This window comes from Homo sapiens, chromosome 19 (genome assembly GCF_000001405.40).
Source record: "Homo sapiens chromosome 19, GRCh38.p14 Primary Assembly".
NCBI lineage: Eukaryota > Metazoa > Chordata > Mammalia > Primates > Hominidae > Homo > Homo sapiens.
The window spans coordinates 56,342,065-56,367,060 of NC_000019.10; the positions used below are offsets into that span (position 1 = coordinate 56,342,065).

Below are 24,996 nucleotides of genomic sequence, written 5' to 3' on the forward strand. Positions count from 1 at the left end.
CCCAATCTACAGAAACACTACTATCATTTCTCTTTATAGACAACTTAATCACATAAAAGTTTTTGATTTGCTTATTTAATAATCTTCTTATAGTGACTTATACAGACCATTCATGACATGCTTGGATTTTCTGGTTTGTTCTAAATATCACTTTTTCTTAAACAACTAGTCATTTTATTCTAGGACTAAATTTACCATACAAGATTCTTTCTCATATAAAATTATTTCTCTTTAAGCTGTCTTACAAAAAAAAAACCTCTTTCTTTTTTTTGGGGGATGCCCTTAAATAAATATTTTATTTTGTTTATATCATTGTAGATACTAGTACCCTTAGTTTAGTAAAAGAAAACTACCACATGATCTTTATTTTTAAATTCTTGGGTTAAGCTCTGGAGAATTTTCATAGGCAAATTCTGTGTGGGCTGGAACAGTAAGCACTCCAATAAAATCTATCTCCAGGAAGAATGGACCACCCACTTTATCAGCCAAGGTGAATGCTATAGAAGAGATCTTGTCAAGCAGAAGCTGACTCTGAACATCCTGCACTCTTCCTTGATTAGGGAAAAAAATTTGGAAAAAGGGATCTTGACCTCCTGCCAGTAGGAGTCCCCACGGGTGAACATGAAGTAACTATACATCTGTTTTTCCTCTGGATTATATCTGTGTCCTCCCTGATATTCATCATCCAAGGCCAACCATCCCCACATACACGGAGATACAGAGTACTGAACTGGGACCAATCATAAGACATTTTCCTAAGACATCTTCCTCTCAAAAGCACCCCCTGGAATCCTGGATATCATTGCACAGTACCCACTTCAGGTAGTCTCCCCATCCTGAGGCACCTCAGAGCTCAGAGTTCCATATAGCAGTGCACTTTGGTTATTCTTGCCCATTTTCAAAAATACTTCACTTCTGCCTCCAATCGTCTTTTCAGAAGTCACTATCTACTTATCCAAGTCTTCTTTCCCCCAGAACTGTCAGACAACCTTGGCTTGTTCCAGCAAGACCTCATGCAGAGGGCGGCCTTCGGGTCCTATCCAATGATCCACAATTTCATCCTTCAAATGCCTAAAATGGTCCTTTATTTCATCTCTAATTGCTTTATTGAAACTAACTTCAGGTTTCTCCTCAGGAGAAGTTATATCCAAAGCAACTTCTTTCTGGTGATGTCCTTGGCAACCCCCTTCAGTATTCCTCTGTGAGGAGGCTTTGCCAGGAGAAGCCACTAGTTTCTGAAGACTACTGGAGTGGTGTGCAAAGTGAATACCCAAAAATGAATGCAAGGTAGCAGTTGTCTTAGAGCATTTTCTGAGAATATAAGTGCCATGCAGCAATTTGTGAACCAAAGCCATGGTACGAAAAAATCAAAATGTAAGTTTCTTCCTGGGCTACCAAGGGCTACCAAGAAGCTTCAGCAAATAGCCCAATTCTACCAAATGCCAGAAGCTGCTCTAAGTGTATTTTCATTGACGGCTCACAACAACCCTGAGAGAGGTACTATTATCATTTCAATTATAGAGATGAGGAAATGGATGTTCCAAGACTAATTTACAGAAGGTCACACAGGTAGTGAGTAGTAAAACTCTTCTGCCTCGGGGTTTGCCTCCGGCACTCACTGCCTGACTTCCACAGGCTGGACGTTCCCCACGCTGGAGAGAAAAACCTCTTTATTTCTTTAACTTTCTTTATATCTCTCTTATTTCCTGGTTCCTTTTACCTTGTTTTATATAAAACCTTTACATAAGCTTTGAATTAGACAAAAGAGTGTATACCTTTTTAAAAAGCACACACCTGTTTTTAGAAAGAATGTTTTCCTACAATATATTTTGTTGAAAAATACCCAAATAATAAAATATCTATTATTTAATAGTAATTTAGATTTTAAATTATGACAATTTTATCTACAAGTATTCATCCCATTACATTTACCTAATTATCTTATGTTAATCACTTACCTACATTGTTTATGAAACTGTGATAGGCATCATTTAAAATTATGAAACCACCATAACTGAGACAATAACAAAGATCTGACCTAACTGACTCCATCTTGACTCTAACCTCCACACTGTCCTTGTTCATTCCTGGGCATAGGCCAAACAAACTTTGGGAGGAACTCACTTTATATTTAGCTTTGAAACGAAGATGATAACAGTCCTTTCCCAAAACCAACTTCCTTACTGCCTGTGGACTAGACCACCTAAAGCCACAAGATTAGAAGTTACGGTAATGTTACTAAATTCAAGATAGAGCTATTTTTATTAAACCAATATCAATGTCTTATTTATTAAAGATTACACAAGCAAAGGTCATTCTGTTTTGGCTGTGTTTATGCTTTTGCAACCCCTATGTCAAGTTTTGACACCTTATAGTATTTGGCAGGGATAAGTATGAAATTGTTTGATCCATAAATGCAAACAAAGGGCCAGGCATGGTGGCTCACGCCTGTAATCCCAGCACTTTGGGAGGCCAAGGTGGGCGGATCACCAGGTCAGGAGATCGAGACCATCCTGGCTAACACGGAGAAACCCCGTCTCTATTAAAAAAAAGATACGGCCGGGCGCAGTGGCTCACGCCTGTAATCCCAGCACTTTGGGAGGCCGAGGCGGGTGGATCATGAGGTCAGGAGATCGAGACCATCCTGGCTAACAAGGTGAAACCCCGTCTCTACTAAAAATACAAAAAATTAGCCGGGCGCGGTGGCGGGCGCCTGTAGTCCCAGCTACTCGGGAGGCTGAGGCAGGAGAATGGCGTGAACCCGGGAAGCGGAGCTTGCAGTGAGCCGAGATTGCGCCACTGCAGTCCGCAGTCCGGCCTGGGCGACAGAGCGAGACTCCGTCTCAAAAAAAAAAAAAAAAAAAAAAAAAAGAAAAAAAAGATACAAAAAATTAGCCAGGCGTGTTGGCAGGCACCTGTAGTCCCAGCTACTCGGGAGGCCGAGGCAGGAGAATGGTGTGAACCCAGGAGGCGGAGCTTGCACTGAGCAGAGAACACGCCACTACAAATCCAGCCTGGGCAACAGAGCGAGACTACATCTCAAAAAAAAAAATGCAAACAAAAATGTATGCTGGCAATTCTTAAGACATTTCTAATATTACTTTAATAATAATTTTAAAGCTAGCTTGTTTATTAAAGATTTTACTGAAGTCACATAAACTTGAAAAAGCATTTGAGTAGTCTTTTCTTTTTCTGATAATTTGATGTACACTTTTTAAGCCAATTAATCAGAGCTCTTTTATATATTTTCATTAGTGAAACATTGTTTACATAACACATAAATACACAAGATATATTAGACATGCGGAAAGAAGTACATCTTCACCAATTCACAAAAACCTTCTTTTTTGCTATCATGGATTTTCAGATTCTTGGTAACCTGTTTCACAACTCTAGGCAGTTGTCAGTGAAATAGCCTTAAATTTGCATATTAAAGGAAACAACTCAGGTGAAAATCAAATAGAAAAATTTGCATTATAAAGTATGGAAAGAAAGAGTCTGGTGTGCTAGAAGGAGATTAAAGAGGGATGCCAAATCAAACATAAAATTATAAAAATTTATCATAGAATGGTATAAGGAGACCAATTTTATTTAGATAGGGATTATCTATCCTTTAACTGGCTCTCTGAGCTCTGGGCAGAAACCCACACTGAATGCTGTGTTTCCAAAAAGGGAGAATTATTATGAGGCTAGACCATGTGATGTTTTTACAGTGCACTTAGAAAAAAAATTTTGTAAACAATGACATTTCTAACTGTCTAAACTATACACTTCTTTAAAACCCAAAGAGTAGACTTTGTTGTGATAACTATTTTAGTCAATAAATCAGGTAACACAATACAAAAGCAAGCAGTTTAAGAGCTGAGATGAACTTTTCTGTTTACACTCTTGGGGTTTGATAAGGAAAAACAGGTGTCTACCCCAAGGGAGTTGCACCTTCTCCATTTTCTTTAAGGAACCTCAGACTATGATAAACTATGTCACGTTCCTCATGCAGCAGAGGGTGCAAGAGAAAGGAGAGACAGCAGAAGTAAAAGAAGAAAACAGAAGTCAGTCAGCTGAGAAGAAAAAACCTTTGCTCAATTAAAAAAAAAAAAAGGTAGAGTTGATAAAACCCAATGGGGAAAAAAAGCAAAACAGCAACGAAAACAGAAACAAACAACAACAACAAAAAACATTTAAGCAAAACAAATGATCACACAACTTATATGATTATGGAGTGCTCTGATGGTAACAAGAAATGAAGACCAGCTGGTTGCTACTCTTCTCTTTGGCCAAGACAATCCCCAACTCAGTTACTTATCTAGGGATCATGGGTCACAGGTTGAAGCCTGCTCTCTACCATTAGGGGAGCAGGGCAAAAAACCTCATCTTTCCTGTTGAAGGCAAGCTCAAACTCCATAAAGGAGTTGCCTGAAGGAAAACCTGGCCTTTTTTGTGTTAGAAGCAAGTAAAACTCTAGAAAAAAAAAAAAGAAAAAAAGAACCCACAAAAACCAGAGTTGTACAGCAAAATAAACTTTAGATATCAACGGAATTTTGGGTCCTAATGGTACCCCATTAGCTCAGGGGGATAAGCGGAAGATAAAGCACTTTGTAATATGCATTTTAGAAAACCAAGGCCAACCTCTCTATTACTTTTTTTTATTTTTTATTTTTTTTTTAGACGGAGTCTCGCTCTGTCGCCCAGGCTGGAGTGTAGTGGTGCCATCTCTGCTCACTGCAAGCTCCACCTCCTGGGTTCACGCCATTCTCCTGGGTTCACGCCATTCTCCTGCCTCGGCCTCCCGAGTAGCTGGGACTACAGGCACCTGCTACCATGCCCGGCCAATTTTTTGTATTTTTAGTAGAGATGGGGTTTCACCGCGTTAGCCAGGATGGTCTCGATCCCTTGACCTCGTTATCCGCCTGCCTCGGCCTATCAAAGTGCTGGGATTACAGGCGTGAGCCACTGTGCCCAGCCTCAATTATTCTTGTTGTAACCGAGCAAGTTACAGAGAAACGCCACACGCTGAGACAAATTCAGGAGTCCTTTATTAGCCAGAGACCGAGAGACGGCTAGTGCTCAAGATTCTCTCGGCCCTGAAGAAGGGGTTAGATTTTCTTTTATACTTTGGTTTAGAAAGGGGAGTGGGGGGAGTCTAGTTAAAACAATCTTACAGAAATAAAGCAGGCAAAAAGTAAAAAGGATAAATGGTTACAGGAAAGCAAACGGTTCCAGGTGCAGGGGTTTTAAATCCATCACAAGGTGATAGGCGCGGGGCTTTGGGTGTTATCAACCGGACACAAACGCGGGGGGCTCTGGGTGCTATCAACTGGGCAAATTCCTAGGAACTGCAGATATAGCTTGCCACAGTATCTTATCAGTTAATTGCACTCTTGGATGTGCTGGGAGTCAGCTTGCACAAGTTAAGTCCTTGAGGAAGGGGGTGAGTAAGGGGCTGTAAGTGAAGGAGCCAAGATGGTGTCTGTCTGGCTCTCTCAGCTAAGGGAGAGTCAATTCAGGTTAAAACAAGGTATCATACTCTAAACTGTCTATAATGGACCAAAAGCCAGATAAGACTCCTGTAGCCTTTATGGAAAGGCACTAATAGAGTATACCTCCTTATCCCGTAATTCAGTTGAGGAACAGCTCATCCTGAAGGACAAGTTTATTACACAAGGCAGCTCCTGATAGTAGAAGGAAACTACAAAACCAAGGTACAGGACCAGACAGCACCTTAGAGAGCCTCCTGAAAGTGGCCACTTCGGTCTTTAATAATATGGACCAGGAGGAGGATGCCCAAAAGAAAGAGAGCAAGCTCGGGAGACGGACAGAGGCTCTAGCAGCAGCTTTGCAGGCTTGCAACATCCAGAATCCCCAAGGTGCATCTGCTAGTTGCTATTGATGTGGCAGGCCAGGGCATTTTAAGGATTGCCCAGGCAGCAAGACGAAGCAACTTCGACCCTGTCCAGCCTGTGGCAAAAACCACTGGAGATGGAATTGCCCCCAGAGGCGGAGGTCACTGGGTTCAGGACCAGTTTCACAGACGGTCCAGCAGGACTGATGGGTCCCGGGGCTCAAATCTCGGCTCCAGCGGTTCAAACTGCCATTATAGCACAGGAGCTCTGGATGATTCTGGAAATTAAAGGAAGGAAAGTAAACCTCCTTCCAAACACTAGAGCTAGTCTCTCTCTGTCTTCTCCTCTCTAATCCAGATCTCCCCTCTCCCCAGAGCATGACCGTAAGGGGCATCTCAGGAAAAAGGCTAATCCAATCTTTTTCTCAACCTTAGTTGACACACGCTTGCAAGCCATTGTCATGATAGCTCTACTAGTCAGAAAAGCCTCCAAGTTAACCCTAGGAAATAATTTAACTGTTTACAGCCCACATAATGTAGCAGAATCACGGTCCTCTAGGGGGAGCTCTTAGCTGACAGCCAGTAAAGCAAGATGTACATAAGGCAGGATAAGCAGTAGTCACTCTCCCCAGGCACAAACGCTCAATTAGCTGAGCTAATAGCTCTTACAAGAGCACCTAAATTAAGCAAGGGAAAGGCAGCTAACATTTACACTAACTCCAAGTATGCTTTCATAGCTCTCCATGCTCATGCTGGGGCCATTTAAAAGGAAACACATTTTCTTACCACTAATGGATCTCCTATAAAATATCACCAGGAAATTAGCAGGTTATTATCCTCAGTTTTTCTTCCACAAAAAAATAGCAAGGATGCATTTTAAGGAACATTAAAAGGAAACAAGGTAGCCGAAAGAAATAAATTAGCTGATCAGGCAGCTAAGTCAAAGGCATGAAAGCTTCGAGGTATTAACACACTTCAAGCCCCTTCTAATCTAAAAAGACTCTGTAAGAGAAATTAAACCTCAGTATTCCCCTACAAAAATAGAATAGACTACTTCTCTAGGGCATACTTTTCAGCCCTCAGGATGGCTACAGTCAGGATGGCAAACTCTATTTGCCAGCCTCCAGCCAATGAAAAGTTCTTAAAATCCTTCACCAAGCTTTTCACTTGGGAAAGGATAAAACTTATCCATGTGCTCAGAAATTGTTTTCAGGCAGGAAACCTCTAAATTGGTTAAGCATGTAACCTCTCTAGCTCACTTCCAGCAGGAACCACCTCTATTTAACCCAAGAAATTTGGTATTAGTAAAACTCTCACCTCTGTCACCTTCCCTAAGCCAAGCTAGGAAGGGCCCTACACTGTTGTTCTCTCAACCCCCTTGGGCAGTAAAAGTTACAGGAATCAACTTGTGAATACATCACGATCAAGCCAAAGCCTGCAAAGCTGAGGAAGCAACCCCTGACGGTCCAGAGGAATGTCCTCAATATCAGTGTGAAGAAATAGAAGATCTTGGCCGAGCGCGGTGGCTCACGCCTGTAATCCCAGCACTTTGGGAGGCCGAGACGGGCGGATTACGAGGTCAGGAGATCGAGACCAGCGTGGCTAACATGGTGAAACCCTGTTTCTACTAAAAATACAAAAACTAATTCAAATTAGCCGGGTGCAGTGGTGGGCGCCTGTAGTCCCAGCTACTCAGGAGGCTGAGGCAGGAGAATCGCTTGAACCCGGGAGGTGGAGGTTGCAGTTAGCCAAGATCACACCACTGCACTCCAGCCTGGGCGACAGAACAAAACTCCGTCTCAAAAAAAAAAAAAAAAAAAAAAAAAAAGTAGAAGATCTTAAGCTGAAAATCATAAAAGATAAGTAACTGAGTGAGGGCTACGCATCTTACTCAGTCCCACTCCTACCTTATCAAATACTTTTTATTATTTCTAAACTTTCCTCTCAAAGTTCACTGCCAAATATTAGAACTTCTTTTTAATGCATATTTGCAGAGAGATTTAATTATTCATAGAATCATATTTGTAACTTTGTAAATCCCCAAAGGGACATGTTATGTCTTGGCAAGTAAAGTTTTAAATGAAAATTATTTACTATGCCACTCTTGTGAAAATTGTTCTAGTCAAGCTACTATTTGCAATAGAACTAAACGCTGTGGCACTCACAATGTGGAATTCTGGTTGTAAAATTCTAATTGCTGTAATATTTTGCCAGATTATCATCCTTATAACAGGATTAATAATTGCAGGAAAAATTTAGTCAAGGTTGTTTTGCTTATAGCAGGACTAATAGTTATGGATAAGAAGCATGAAAGTTATACCATCACTAAGTTTGAAAAGACTTTTTACTAAAGGTTGGTAATATAATACACACTATGAAAAGGTTATAAAGGAAGAGATTTTATGTACGGAAGGATTTTGTATGGTAAATTCTTGTACTAAAGGGAAATAACCGGTTGTTTAAAGAAAGGATGTTTAGGACAAATCAAAAAGTGTAAAGGTGTTGTAAGAAGGTTTATAAAAGTCATAAAAGAATTTAGTAATTAAAGGAAAGGAATTGTCAAAATTAACGCTAAAGTTATTTTAGCCACCCAATAATGTCTTTCTCCCAATCATATTGCAAGTTGTAAAAATGGCCTAGGCCTAAAGTTATTCTCTAACGGCAGATTAAGGGGGAAATGTCCGCTTTTCTCTAGGAAAAAGTTACCGCTATATTAACGTTTCTGGTAATGTACACCGACATCTAGTGGAGGCAAGCCAGTATTGCAATCCATTGGTGTAACTAAAAGGTGTCAAACTCTACTGTCAGTTATGGTCTAACAGGGCCCCCCACTAACGGTGGTAATTTTAATAATTGTATCCTAACCCTACATTTTAAATCTTCTTGTAAAATTTATATTTTTTCACCTTAAATCAAATAAAGTTTAATATTTTAATATTTTATTAAATAATGTTTTATTTAATAAAACATTAAATAAAGTTTAATAGAAGCAATTAAACTTTAAATGGTGCTGTGAGCTGAGCCACACACAGACATGCCATTCTTCTGAGAACCTCAGATCAACCACAGGAGAAGGCCCAATTGCTGTCCCCCCCCAACCACACGCCCCTTTTCAGCAGACAGTACCCAGAAAGAATCATCATCTAACACCCCCTAACAGCAGTTAGGTTTACTTCTCTTTGAGGGGGGGATATTACAGGAGTTATTAAGAAATCATTTTAGGCATACAGTAAGGGTAAAGGTTCTTGGTGAAAATTTTCCTGTAATAAGAAATCTCTTTTCTAACCAAGCAATCTCTTTTCTAACCAAAAAGGCGGCTTCAAGGGCCGGGCTGACAAGCTTTGATATGCAAATGCTGGCCACTAGAAACTGGGTCCACTCAACATGGTGATTCCCACCGTCTTCTCCTTGTTACCACCTGTGCAAAGTGTGAAGGCCACCTCCAAGTAACACCATGTGTTCAAACCATCATGGCAACCCACATTTGCATATTAAAAGGCTATGGCGGGAGGGCCTGGTTTCTCCCAGGCTACATGAATAACACACCTGGTCAAGCCAATCCTTTGGGCCCTATGCAAACCAGATACTGCCTCCTCCAGCCTCCAGATATAAGGGACTGTCTTTCTGTTGCGCACAGGGTCTATCTCTGTTCCTTTCCCATGTCTCAGTACGGGGGAGCTGTTCTCTTCTTTCTTCCTTCTTACTTGCTATTAAACTTTTCACTCCTTAAAACTACTCCACATGTGTCCATGTCGTTAATCCTATCAGCACCAGACCAAAAAGCCTGGTAATCGTCCAGTCATCGGAGCTGTATCAAAATGAACTTGGGCTGCTCTGTCCCAATGTCTCCATCCTTTGCATCTTAACCTGTCGCAGAACAAGAAAAGTGGTGCCGCTAAGATTGCACAGGTGCAGCGAATACGAACCTGGGAAGACTGTGGTGTTTCTTTAGATGGCTGGTGGATCTATCTGGATTGAAGGGATTCCTTTTCCCAGCAATAATTTTACAGACCTGAGACGTTTGCAAGATGAAATTGTGTTGCGGGATGAAGATGTCATTACACTTTCTTACCCAAAGTCAGGTAGGGAAGTGGGACCCGAAACTCAGGAAGGGATGCGGTGAAGATACTGATGGAGTGCCTTCTTTATGCCCTGCGCTTGGGTATGCTTTGGTGGATAGTGTGGGGTTTTTTTGTTTGTTTGTTTCTTTGTTTTTGAGACGGAATCTCGCTCTGTCACCCAGGCTGGAGTGCAGTGGCACGATCTCAGCTCACTGCAAGCTCCGCCTCCTGGATTCACGCCATTCTCCTGCCTCAGCCTCCCAAGTAGCTGGGACTACAGGCGCCGATAGTGTGGTGTTTTAACAAAGCTTCTACTCAGAGAGACGGATTAAACCAGACAATTAAACATAATGCAAATGAATGTGATTACTGGGGCACTGTAGAGACAGAGAGAGACATGAGATCCCACAGAAGCTAAGGCAGATTTAAGTGATCATGCAGGATGGTTAGAAGGGACTGATTATTGAAAGAATTTCGGTGAAAAAATAAACATTTATCCTTAGATGCTGAGCGTGAATGTGAGACTGTTAGATGTAAAAGAAAAAATATTCTGACACTTGGGTAAATGGTGAGGAAGAATATTCAAGACAATTGCAACAGGGGAGAGAGACCCAACTCTGAATATAGCAATGATAGTTGGTTTTTTGTAGACAATTATCAAAGTAAGGCGGTCAGTGGGTGGGAAATTACAAAGAACAACTTGATTAGGTATCAGGAGCAGAATCCTTGCTAAAGGCAGGCCAAAGATTTAGACATTAAGAGTGGAACATGGGAAATCTGATCAGGTATCAAGGATGGGGGGATTCTCATTACCCTTGTTGAAACTGGGTGCAACACAGTTTCAACACAGATGTCCAAAGTCCAGGCCTAGTCAGGAAGAGGACTCAGGGAAGCCCAAGTCAAGTCTGGTCGAGGAGAAGGTCTTTGCCAGATGGCAGTGTTTCGATCTATTACACTACAGACATTGTGGGCCACATAATACATTTTCAGGGGGAAGAGGGCTGTCCTGTGCATTGTAGGATGTTTAGCTGCATCCCTGGCCCCTGCCCACTGGAGTCAGTAGCATACTCAAGTGTGATAACTCAAAATGTCTGCAGTCACTGTTAATTTTCCCTTGAGGTGGACACAGTTTACCCCAGCTGAGAACCGCATGGATGAGGAGAAGGCACATACATATGCCTGAGGTTTCAGGCAAAGAATAGTAGACATGTGTTGGTGTCATGCATTGAGGCAGAGATCGCTGGTGGAGAAGCACATACAGGGAAGCTGGGATTATCGAGTGTAACGGATACTACAGTGTAACTAGAGAAAGAATATGAAAGGTGGGAAAATGGGAGTGAAAATATTGTAATATTTAGCAAGTGCATGTGTGCAGTGGTTCAATGGTCTATTCTGTGCATTAAGACTATTTGGTGCCATTGTTTTACTGGGCTGAGCTTATTTCACTTAACATAATTTCTTCCAGTTCCCTCCCTCCATGTTGGCTGCACATGACAGTTTTGCTCTTTTTAAAATGATATTGAGGCCGGGCGCGGTGGCTCACGCCTGTAATCCCAGCATTTTGGGAGGCCGAGGCGGGCGAATCAGGAGGTCAGGAGGTCAGGAGATCGAGACCATCCTGGCTAACGGCGGTGAAACCCCGTCTCTACTAAAAAAAAATACAAAAAATTAGCTGCGCGTGGTGGCAGGCACCTGTAGTCCCAGCTACTCGGAAGGCTGAGGCAGGAGAATGGCATGAACCCGGGAGGCAGAGCTTGCAGTGAACCGAGATCGTGCCACTGCACTCCAGCCTGGGTGACAGAGCGAGACTCTGTCTCAAAAAATAAAAATAAAATAAAAAATAAATAAATAAATAAATAAAATGATATTGAGCAGTGGGAGCAAGAATATTAGGGCATCCAACAGCCCAAAGGTGGAAGCAGCCCACATGTCCATCGACAGATGAACAGATAAACAGAATGTACTCTATACAAACAATGGAATATTAGTCGCCCTTAAAAGAGAGGAAGTTCTAATACATGGTACCACATGGATGGACCTTGAGGGCACTATACTATGTAAAAGTCAGGCATGAAAGGATAAATACTGTGTGATCCAGTCATAGGAGGTACCTGGTATAGAAATATTCATAGAGAGGGAAAGTAGTGTGGTGGTTGCGAGGAGCTGATGGGAAGAGAATAAAAAGAGTTGCTTTTTAATGTTTACAGAGTTTCAATTTTGCAAAGAGAAAAACATTCTGGAGATGGATGGTGGTGATGGTTGCATGATAATGTGCATATTTACTGAACCGGACACTTACAAATGGTTAAGCCAGTCAATTGTTTGTTTGTATTTTACCACAATTTAACATTTTAAAAGTTGGTTTTTTAAAAGAGTATTATGACAAAACAGGGTAAAGATGGCCACATAAAGGTGAAAGGAACAGAGTACCTCTAGAATAAAGCATCAGTTGAATGCACTTAAGACTAAGATGAGGAATGAAAACACCAGTTGGATTGATGGGCAGGGGCATTATTGCTGAAATAACACAGGGTCTTTAAGATGTAGTGGTGGGGTCAATGTCACATTGAAGTAGGTGACACCTTCTTCTTTTTTATTCAGGAAGCTTTTGGATAGTGGAAATCATCAGTCTGATCCACTCCAAGGGAGATCCTAGTTGGGTCCAATCTGTTGTTCCCTGGGATCGTTCACCATGGATAGAAGTTAAACGTAAGAAAGCAGGTTTAGAGAGTCAGAAGGGCCCACACCTCTACACCTCCCACCTTCCCATTCAGCTCTTCCCCAAGTCATTCTTGAATTCCAAGGCCAAGGTGAGTTAATAATGGAATGTCAGCGTGGACCACTTTCTGACGGCTGAATGACTGTGTTTTAGGGACAGAGTTAAAATGCGATTCCCTAAACTATGCATATTAGAAAATCTTGTTCCAATCTACTGTGTCATATACAAGACAATGTTTCTGGTATTTCCCCAGGAAATCCTCAGCCTTCATTTAAGTAAATCCTGGCTACATCCCCAAAACTGAGGACCCCAACATTAATATGCTCATGTGGAAAGCATCTTAGCTGTAAACCAGCACCTGAATTTCAGAGGAAATGTGGGTGTGACACTGATATTTGAAACCCAACGTGGTTTTTCTATTGAGGATAGTAATCATGATGTGGGGCATTTTGTTCCCAATTGACAGCTCCACGGGTCTCCCATACATAATTTCAGAAGCTCCACATGAAGCCTCTAGCATTGAGTAACCCTGGGCAGTAAGTGTGAACTTTTTCTCATGATAGATTATTGCTTAAATCAAAACTTACCAAAACTATCAAAATTGTATAAAACTGCCTCCAAATGTCTCAGGTGATGTGGTAGTAACAGTATTATCAAAATGTTCTAATATTACAGTGTCACAATGTATTAATACTGTGCTGTATTTCTATTTGCTTATTTACTGTCAGGTTCATTTATTTTACTGTATACTCCATGATTTTGAAGATCATGTCAATTTTTTTCCCAATTTTTACTGTTTTACACTGACTTAGCTGATGCTTAAAACATTGTAGAGATACAAGAAAATACTGGAAAAACTAAATTAAAAAATAAAGTAACAACAATAGCCCAAGACCAAGCTCTGTAAAACAATTATGACTGTAAAACAATTATGATAAAATGATTTATAACAGAAAATTCCAACTTGAACTTTGGCTCCAGACTGTGTTTATTGGCAAATAGTGCAAGATGTTTGAAGCGCAGTTTGTGTGTGTTTAAACTGGCAGTACTGATCCTTCCATGTATTTGTTCCTGATTATTTATTAACTTAGAATATGCATCCATTCTTTATTCCTTCATATGTTTAGGTATTAAGCACCTATTATGGGTCAAGGTTTGAATCAGGATTGGGAAGAAGGTAATGATTATGATGACCTCAAGTCACAACCTAAAGAAATTTACAGATTAGTATTTGGGAAGACAAAGAACAGACATACACTTATTTTCTGTGGTGCCAATATTATTTACTGACATCCTCATTAATACCAGATACCAGTGTGTAGTTGGTGAAAAACATCTACTTTAAGATATGCAATAAATAGATGAAAGGATGAGACAGGGAGAAAAATGTAGGGAAAGTACCACATTGTCCCAGAAGGTAAATGCAGGGTTTGCTGATGGAGTTATGCAGATGGAGGATTTGGTAACTGTCTTGTAGCGGGACAATCAGAGATGGGAGAGACTGAACAGAGTTCAGGAGAGCCTTTATTAAGGTGAGCACCTGGCTCAGTAGGACTAGCGTCCAGGAAAGTCTGAGCCCCGAACAAAGAGAGCAGCCACCTTTTAAACAATCAGTGGTGGGAATTACGTGATGCAGGAAGCGTACTTACAGAAGCGAGAAGAAAGGCAGTTGTTACTCCATGTCTTACATCCTTGGGAATACATGGTTGTGTAATATATACGTATCAATCTTATGACCTTGCAGCTGTGCTGGGGAGGTAAGCAAGAATTCACAGAGCTCTAAGGAATGTGAAACTGGGGAGTATAGATGAGGCTCATGGAGCACAGAAGGAGCACAGGCTGTTAATATCCTTCTCTAACTTCTACTACGGGGTGGGGACGGGGGCGCTACCTTATAACTAAGCCCTGAGGGGAAAGTTAATTTTCTGGCTTCACATATTGTAAAATTCATTAATTTCCTCTTCAGTCTCAGTGAGGAGAAAACCAAGAGTGTATAACTGATTCCATTTACCCCATATCCTTCTTTGTGCAATTCTTATAATTTTTACTTTTGCCTGCAGTATAAAAACTGCCTGTGGGGTTATTGTTCTTTAAAGAGTCGGTAGTGTTTTACAGCAATTCCATCAGGAAAGAAAATGTTGTCTTTTATATATACTCCTTTACTGCTTCTCAGGTTCATCCCTGGACCTGCACTATGATTCCTGCAGACTGAAGGAGTTCCTTTAGAACTGGTTGTCATGTAGGTTGTAGGCAATAAAAATTCTCATAGCTTGGCATGTTTCTAAGATTACCTTGATTTTTATCCTCATATTTAAAGGATATTTTCATAGGATATAGCATTAAGTATTTTTTATTCTTCAGCAATTTAAAGACAATTTTCCATTTGTGTTAGGCCTCCATTTTTTGGATGAGAAGTCAGGGGGCCTTCTTCTCCTCTTTCTCCACTGTCTGTGACGTGTCTGTTTTTGTCTGGCTACATTCAATGACTCAGCTGGATGCCAAGGGTGTTAAGGAACTGTTCATAGTCACTGCTGTGTGTTAACAAGTTTGGAGAGTGAGGAATAATAAAACATATCACTGCTATTTGGTAAATGTCTGGTGATCTTGCCTCATGCATGCGAAGCCCAGCCCTCAGCCATAAGTGTACAGAGACCCCTGACACAGACTTTATCATTACATAATACTTACACATGTTTTGTTGGTACACGCAGTATTTTGATACATGCATACAATGTATACCAATAAACCAGGGCAACTGGGACTCCCTCACCCCAAACCTTCACCCATCTTTATGTTGGGAACATTCCAATTCCTCTTCCCCAGCAACTATACCACAAAATATTGTTAGCTATAGTTCTACTGTACTGTCAAATACTAGATCTTAATCCTTCTGTCCACATGAAAAAAAATCAAATTCAAATTGAAGGACATTTGATAAAAAAATTTGACAAGTGCTCTTCAAAACTACAAAAACACCCTGAAGTACACAGACCAACGACACCATGAAGCAACTAGATTAACAAGTCTGCAAAATTAACCAGCCAGCATCATGATGACAGGATCAAATTCACACATAACAATATTAACCTTATGTGTGAATGGGCTAAATGCCCCCAGTAAAAGACAAAGACTAAAAAATTGGATAAAGAATCAAGACCCATTGGACTGCTGTATTCAAGAGACCCATCTCACGTGCAAAGATACACCTAGGCTCAAAGTAAACGGATGGAGGAAAATTTACCAAGCAAATGGAAAGCAGAAACAAGCAGGGGTTGCAATCCTAGTCTCTGGCAAAACAGACTTTAAACCAAGAAAGGTCAAAAAAGACAAAGAAGGGCATTAGGTAATGGTAAAAACTTTAATTCAGCAAAAAGAGCCAACTATCATAAATATATATTCACCCAATACAGGAGCACCCAGATTCATAAAACAAGTTATTTTTATTTTGTTTTATTAGGACTGAATCTCTCTCTATCTCACAGGCTGTACTGCAGTGGTGCGATCTCAGCTTACTGCAACCTCCACTTTTCAGGATCAAGTGACTCTTGTGCTTCAGCCTCTCAAGTAGCTAGGATTACAGGCGCCCACTACCATACCCGTCTAATTTTTGTATTTTGAGTAGAGGCAGGGTTTCACCACGTAGGCCAGGCTGGTCTCGGACTCCTGACCTCAAGTGATCCACCCGCCTCAGCCTCCCAAAGCGCTGGGATTACAGGCGTGAGCCTCCACGCCCAGCCCATAAAACAAATTTTTAAAGACATACAAAGAGACTTGAATACCCACCCAATAATAGCGGGAGACTTTAATACCTCACTGCCAATATTAGACAGATCATCGAGAAAGAAAATTTAGAAAGATATTCAGGACTTGAACTCAGCCCTGGATCAACTGGACCTGACAGAGATCTACATAAGTCTCCACCCAAAACCAACAGAACATACATTTTTCTCAGTACCACATGGCACTTACTCTAAAATTGATCACATAATTAGAAGTAAACCACTGCTCAGCAAATGCAAAAGAACTGAAATCATAACAGTCTCTCAGTCCACAGCACAATCAAATTAGAACTCAAGATTAAGAAATTCACTCAAAAACACGTAACTACATGGAAATTGAACAACCTGCTCCTGCATGACTTCTGGATAAATAATAAAACTGAGGCAGAAACCAAGAAATTCTTTGAAACTAATGAGAACGAAGAGACAACATACCAGACTCTCTGGGATGCAGCTAAAGCAGTGTTAAGAGGGAAATTTACAGCACTAAATAGATCCAACAAAAAGCTAGAAAGATCTCAAATGGACACCCTAACATCACAACTAAAAGTACCAGAGAACCAAGAGCAAATAAATTTCAGAGTTAGCAGAAGACAAGGAATAACCAAGCACAGAGCACAACTGAAGAAGAAAGAGACACAAAACACCCTTCAAAAAAATCGACAAATCCAGGAGCTGGTTCTTTGAAAAAAAAAATCAATAAAATAGATAGACCATTAGCTAGACTAATAAAGAAAAAAAGACAAGATTCAAATAAACACAATCAAAAATGATAATGATGACATTACCACTGACCCCACAGAGATACAAACTACTGTCAGAGAAAATGATAAACACTTCTATGCAAATCAATCAGAAACTCTAGAATAAATGGACACATTCCTGGACACATACACCCTCCCAAGACTCAACCAGGAAGAAGTTGAATCCCTGAATAGACCAATAACAAGTTCTGAAATTGAGGCAGTAATTAATAACCTACAAACCAAAAAAAGCCCAGGACCAGATGGATTTACAGCTGAATTCTACTGGAGGTGCAAAGAGGAGCTGGTACATTTCTTCTGTAACTATTCCAAACAATCGAAAAGAAGAGACTCCTCCTTAACTCATTTTATGAGGCCAGCATCATTCTGATACCAAACCTGGCAGAGATATACAACAAAAAAATAAAACTTCTTGCCAATACCCCTGATGAACATCGATGTCAAAATCCTCAATAAAATACTGGCAAACCAAATCCAGCAGCACATCAAAAAGCTTATCCACCATGAACAAGTTGGCTTCATTCCTGGGATGCAAGGCTGGTTCAATACATGAAATCAATAAACATAATTCATCACATAAACAGAACTAGAGACAAAAAACACAACACTATCTTAACAGATGCAGAAAAGGCCTTTGATAAAATTCAACATCTCTTCATGATAAAAACTCTCAATAAACTAGGTATTGATGGCACATATCCAAAATAAGAGCCATTTATGACAAACCGACAGCCAGTATCATAGTGAATGGGCAAAAGCTGGAAGCACTCCCCTTGAAAACGGGCACAAGAAAAGGATGCCCTCTCTCACCACTCTTATTCAACACAGTATTGGAAATTCTGGCAAAGGAAATCAGGCAAGACAAAGAAATAAAGGGTATTCAAATAGGAAGAGAAGAAGTCAACTTGTCTTTGTTTGCAGATGACATGATGCTGTATCTAGAAAACCCCATCAACTCAGCCCAAAAACTTCTTAAGCTGATAAGCAACTTCAGCAAAGTCTCAGGATACAAAACCAATGTGCAGAAATTAAAAGCACTTCTATAAACCAAGAACAGACAAGCAGCGAGCCAAATCATGAATAAATTCTCATTCACAATTGCCACAGAGAAAATAAAACACCTAGAAATACAGCTAATAAGGGGAAGTGAAGGACCTCTTCAAGGAGAACTACAAATTACTGCTCAAGGAAATCAGCGAGGACACAAACAAATGGAAAAACATTCCATGCTCATGGACAGGAAGAGTCAATATCATGAAAACAGCCATACTGCCCAAAGCAGTTTATAGCTTTAATGCTATTCCCACTAAACTACCATCTGATCTTCAACAAACCTGACAAAAACCAGCAATGGGGAAAGGATTCCCTATTTAAAAATGATGTTGGGAGAACTGGCTAGTCACATGCAGAAAATTGAAACTGGACCCTTTATTACACCTTATACAAAAATTAACTCTAGATGGATTAAAGACTTATATGTAAAAAAAAAATAAAAACTATAGAAACTCTAGAAGAAAATCTAGGCAATACCATACAGGACACATAAGCATGGGCAAAGATTTTATGATGAAATCTCTAAAACCAATTGCAGCAGAAGCAAAAATTGACAACTAAGATCTAATTAAACCAAAGAGCTTCTGCACAGCAAAAGAAAACTATCATCAGAGTGAATAAGCAACCTACAGCATGGAAGAAAATTTTTGCAACATATCCATCCGACAAAGGTCTAATATTCAGCATCCATAAGGAACTTCAGCAAATTTACAAAAAACAAAATGCCATTAAAAAATGGGCAAAGGACATGAACAGACACTTCTTAGAAGAAGACATACATGTGGCCAACAAATGTGAAAAAAAAGCTGAATATCACTGATCACTGGAGAAATGCCAATGATCACTGGAGAAATGCCAATGAAAACCACAATGAGATACCATCTCACACCAGTCAGAATGGCAATTATTAAAAAGCCAAGAAGCAACAGATGCTGGCGAGGTTGCAGAGAAATAGGAATGCTTTTACACTGTTTGTGGGAATGTAAATTAATTCAACCATTGTGAAAGACAGTGTGGTGATTCCTGAAAGATTTAGAACCAGAAATACCATTTGACCCAGCAATCCCATTATGGGGTATATACCCAAAGGAATATAAATCATTCTATTTTAAAAATACATGCATGTGTATGTTCATTGTAACACTATTCACAATTGCAAAGACACGAAATCAACCCAAATGCCCATCAGTGATAGACTGGATAAAGAAAATGTGGTACAAATACACCATGGAGTACTATGCAGCCATAAAAAGGAACAAGATCATGTCCTTTGCAGGGACATGGATGGAGCTGAAAGACATTATCCTCAGCAAACTGACACAGGAACAGGAAATCAAACACTGCATGTTCTCACTTATAAGTGGGAGCTGAACAATGAGAACACATGGAAACAGGGAGGGGAACACACACACTGTGGCCTGTCAGAGGAGGGCATGGTTGGGAGGAGAGTATCAAAAGAAATAGCTAATGCATGCCAGGTTTAATACCTAGGTGATGGGTTGATAGGTGCAGCAAACCACCATGGCACGCATTTACCTATGTAACAAACCTGCATATCCTGCACATGGTCTCTGGAACTTAAAAAAACAAAAAAAAGGCAGGGTGCGGTGGCTCACACCTGTAATCCCAGCACTTTGGGAGGCCAAGGAGGGCAGATCATGAGGTCAGGAGATCGAGACCATCCTGGCTAACACGGTGAAACCCCATCTCTATTAAAAAATACAAAAAATTAGCTGGGCGGGGTGGCGGGCACCTGTAGTCCCAGCTACTCGGGAGGCTGAGGCAGAAGAATGGCATGAACCTGGGAGGCGGAGCTTGCAGTGAGCCAAGATTGTGCCACTGCACTCTAGCCTGGGCGACAGAGTGAGACTCCGTCTCAAAAAAAAAAAAAAAAAAATTAAAAAACCCACTGAAAATGTGTCTGTAATTTCTTTAATAAATATTGTACCCATGTGAATTTTTAAGGTTCACAGATATACCACACTTAAGTATGAAAGTAACATTATGCCGGGCACTATGGCTTGTGCCTGTAATTCCAGCACTTTGGGAGGCCAAGGTGGGCAGATCACCTGAGGTCAGGGGTTTGAGACCATCTTGGCCAACGTGGCGAGACCCCCACCTCTACTGACAGTACAAAGAATCAGCCGGGCATGGAGGCATGCGCCTGTAATCCCAGCTACTTGGGAGGCTGAGGCAAAAGAATCACTTGAGCCCAGGAGGCAGAGGTTGCAGTGAGCCGAGATTGCACAAAAAGGCAACAGAGTGAGGCTCCATCTCAATAAATAAAATAAAATAAAATAAAAAAGATGGCCGGACGCGGTGGCTCACGCCTGTAATCCTAGCACTTTGGGAGGCCCAGGAGGGCAGATCACGAGGTCAGGAGATTAAGACCATCCTGGCTAACACGGTAAAACCCCGTCTCTACTGAAAAATACAAAAAAATTAGCCAGGTATAGTGGCAGGCACCTGTAGTCTCAGCTACTTGGGAGGCTGAGGCAGGAGAATGGTGTGAACCAGGGAAGCAGAGCTTGCAGTGAGCCAAGATCATGCCACTGCACTCCAGCCTGGGCGACAGAGTGAGACTCTGCCTCAAAAAAAAAAAAAAAAGGTAACATCAGCCAACGCTGAAGAACATGTATACGGGAACTGCCTGTACCATTTTTACAACTTTTTAGTAATCCAAACATATTTTAAAATACAACTACTCAAGAAAAAAGAAAAAAATTTACTACTTCATAAAAGCATTTTCTAAAATGATTAATGTCCCAAAGTTATACATTCCTGTAACTCTCAGTACCTCTGCATTTTTAATGCTCCTTGCTGTTTATATATTTCAGTGGTTACCTGCCCATATTTCTCTAGTTTTCAGGTGAGGGATATGACAAGAGCACACAGATCTAATGGATTTTAAACAGTGTATTTGTCTCTGAACAGCATCCTCTTAGAAACACTCACCTCTATTACTCAGATTACACATTTGCCAGATAAGCGAAATGAATTCATCCTCTTCCTACTTCTCTTTTTCTCTTCTTCTCGTCTTCCTTCTCTGCTGCCTCTGTCTGTTTTCTTTTTCCCCAAAGTGTATTTATCCTCATGTTCTCATGCTTGTGGTTCTCATCCTAGGACATAAGAGCCAGTGGAGTATTGCTATAAAGATATCTGAAAATGCAGAAGCAACTTCAAAACTGGGTAATGGGCAAAGATTGGAAGAGTTTGGAGGGCTCAGAAGAAGACAGGAAGATGAAAGAAGTTTGGAATTTCTTAGAGACTGTTAAGTGGTTGTGACCAAAATGCTAATAGTAATATGGACAGTGACGTCCTGGCTGCTGAGGTGTCAGATGGAAATGAGGAACTTATTGGGAACTGGAACAAACGTGACATGTGTTATGCCTTAGGAAAGAACTTGGTTGAATTGTGTCCATCCTTTAGGACTCTGTGAACATTTGAACTTGAGAGTGATGATTTAGGTTATTTGGCAGAAGAAATTTCTAAGCAGCAAAGTGTTCAAGATGTGGCATGGCTGTGTCTAACAGCCTATGTTCAGATGTGTGAGCAAATAAATGACCTAAGGTTGGAAATTATATTCTATTTAAAGAGGAAGCAGACCATAGTAGTTTGGAAAATTTGCAACCTGGCCATGTGGTAGAAGAGAAAAGCCTATTTTCAAGAGAAGAATTCAAGTGAGCTGCTAAGCAACCACTTGATAGAGAAATTTGCATAAGTAAAATGCAAACAAGAGCTGATAGCAAAGACAATGGCAGAAAGGTCTCAAAGGCATTTCAGAGACCTCTGCAGCAACCCCTCCCATCACAGGCAATCCATCCATCCAGTAAAGCTAGAACATGGAGGAGGGGATGAACAGCTGGAGAGCTTCTGGGCAGGAAAAAAATCCTTAAGTCAGGCAAAGAATAGATTGAGGAGACAGAGAACCTGAAGGGTGACAGCACTTTTTAAAGCTCAGTGGTCCTCTGCAGGACTTTTTGAACCAAGCAATGTAGAGACAGCTTACCATATGAACTTATGTTGTTACTCAAGAAAGTTGAGAACTAAATAGGTTTTCAGCTATTGTAGGCCAATAATAAATCAGACTGTCTATTGATATTACTTTTGCTTCACTAAGAAAACAGGATACTACTACAGACACATCAGAATGACTACAATTGAAAGAACGACAATATAAAGTCTTGGAAAGGATGTGGAATGACTGGAATTATCATACATTGGTAGTGAACATGTTATATGGTACAACCACTTTGGAAAACTGACAGTTTTTTAAAAAATTAAACACACAACTATCCCATGACCCTACCTCTATTACAAGAGAAAGGAGTGCACATGGCCATAGAGAGATATGTTCATACAGCTTTATTCACAGCAGTTAAAAACTTAAAACAAGCTGGATGTCCATTAATGAGTGAATGCATAAACTAACTGGTACATTCATGCAATGGAATGCTACTAAGAACTGTTGACGTATACCCTACACATATGAATTGCTAACATTATGCTAAGAGAAGCCAGATGCAAAAGAATACATATTGTATACTATTCTAAGAAGGCCAAGAACTGGCAAAATGAATCTATGGGATAAACATCAGAATAGTGGTTCTTCTAAGGGGGTGATGAATGGGAAGGAGCTCAAGGGAAGTTTCCAGTGTGATGGAAATATTCTTTACCTTCTAGGTGATGGTTACATGGGCATACACATCATCGTGCTGTACACTTAAGATAGGTACATGATACTTCAATAAACCATTTTTAAAAGAAAACATCCATTCCTGGAAACAGAACAGACACATCACACATAAACAAGAACGCTTTGTTCTTATCAGAATGTATTACTTCATTTAAAGTCATGGTTTGGCCCTCTGGTTGGTAGTGGAGGCCCTCCAATTCCTATGACTTGACTAATTATTGTTGATCTTGAGAAATGTACATAATGGGTTGTATTTGTTTGGCTATAGAAAAAAGATGAGATTTCTGTCTTAGCAATCTCTTTAGCCGACTGCCTATGGTACATACTGGATTCTGGTGTAATGCTTATTCAATAATAAAACTGTTTTCTTTCCCTTCTACCTTTGTAGCGAGGTTTTCTGGGTTGGCAGGAAGTTTCTGTTTTTATTTCCTCAACAATAGACACGCAGTTTCCCTATACAACATGGTTAAAAGGCTTAAGCAGCTAAAATTCACTACCTGCTATTCAAAGATGAGTCTCATATGGATACAAAAGTGAACGTGTTTAAAGACATTACTGAGACTTCCAGTTTCTGGTCCAGCAAGGAGCTGGAAGTCCTCACTCCATCCTAACAACAAATAAAAAGCTGAACAAACTGAAAAATCAGCAATTCTTCTTAGATCTGTCAAATAAGTGAGGTCACAAGGCAAGCTACTGCCTCCAAAGTTGGAGACAGGCAGACACAGAGAATGATAACTTACCAGAGCAGAAACTCACAAGCAGTAATCTTTGTGCCTCTGCAGGAACCAGAACAAGGTTAGGAAAACCTGAACTCTAATTGATGAATTGCTGGAAGCTGAATGTGGTTAAGTCTGAGAATTAAAAACTCCAAGAAGACCTTGCCATAGAGCTATCTTTACACTTTCGTGAGTTTTATCTCCAAGGACTCTAGCAGGTTCTCACAGTGAAGATCTGAGAAAAGTCCCCAGCTGGTTCTGGCAGGGGAAGAGGAAGAGTAGCCATTTTGAAATATACCACGGCATTCTGTTCAATGCTCAGGAGAGAAACTATTTTATCAGAGCCTACCGTCTTGGGGTTTTATCAGTGTCCAAATGACCTGGAAGAAGGAAAATAAACAATTCTGGTCCCCTCTTGCCACCCTGTCCCACTTAAGGGGAAAGGGTTTTACTCGGAAGGACTTGTGAAATTCATAGTCCCTGGGCTCAGGATAAGAGACTGAAACCTTTGGGAGGCCGAGGCGGGCGGATCACGAGGTCAGAGATCGAGACCATCCTGGCTAACATGGTGAAACCCCGTCTCTACTAAAAATACAAAAAATTAGCTGGGTGTGGTGGCGGATGCCTGTAGTCCCAGCTACTCGGGAAGCTGAGGCAGGAGGCGGAGCTTGCAGTGAGCCGAGATTGTGCCATTGCACTCCAGCCTGGGTGACACAGCGAGACTCTGTCTCAAAAAAAAAAAAAAAAAAAAAGAAACCTTACCATTAAGACTTGTTGAAACCATTAATTGGGAGGCCATTAGGCCGAGGTGGCTCCAGTAGCCTGAATTCTTAACCTAAGCAAACCCAAACCCAACTCAGTGTAACTGGCCTTAACCAATCAGAAACCACCAATTAACCTCCTACTATTGACTTCCCACTGGAATGATCCAAATAAGGCTCTACTCTAACCAATCAAGTATTTTCTTTGCCTTGTTTCTGAGTTCAGCCTGTAAAAGCCCTTCCCTCATGCCTCTTCAGAGAGGCCCTAAGCTGCATGTGATCTGGCAATGCCCAATTCATGAACTGCTATCTGCTTAAACTCTTTAAAATTTTAATGTGCCTAAGTTTATATATTATTTTTGCAGACCATAGAACACTTCCCCTCTCACAACCAAATCTTATCACCATGTTACTAAAGACCTATCATGCGGCTCATTTTACCAAGTACATCATATTCAGCTATCAGGAAAAAATTACAAGGCACTCTAATAGGCAAAATACACAGATTGAAGATTTTACTTAACTCATTAATGAGAAAAACTGGTGACGTATTAAAACCAACTCATAAGAGAACCCTTCCCCGAGCCGAAAAAAAGTCACATTTATAG

The 24,996-nt window shown here is 40.6% G+C and overlaps 1 protein-coding gene and 1 pseudogene across 1 annotated transcript in view; both read right to left on the reverse strand.

Annotated features, from left to right (window-relative positions):
• Window positions 1-24,996, reverse strand: part of ZSCAN5A (zinc finger and SCAN domain containing 5A) — a 146,976-nt gene that overhangs the window by 120,762 nt on the left and 1,218 nt on the right. Inside the window, exon 2 of the mRNA NM_001322072.3 lies at window positions 21,171-21,334. The gene's annotated coding sequence lies outside the window, so the exon portion shown is untranslated. The remainder of the gene's footprint in view (window positions 1-21,170; window positions 21,335-24,996) is intronic.
• Window positions 275-1,660, reverse strand: NDUFAF1P1 (NDUFAF1 pseudogene 1; annotated as a pseudogene).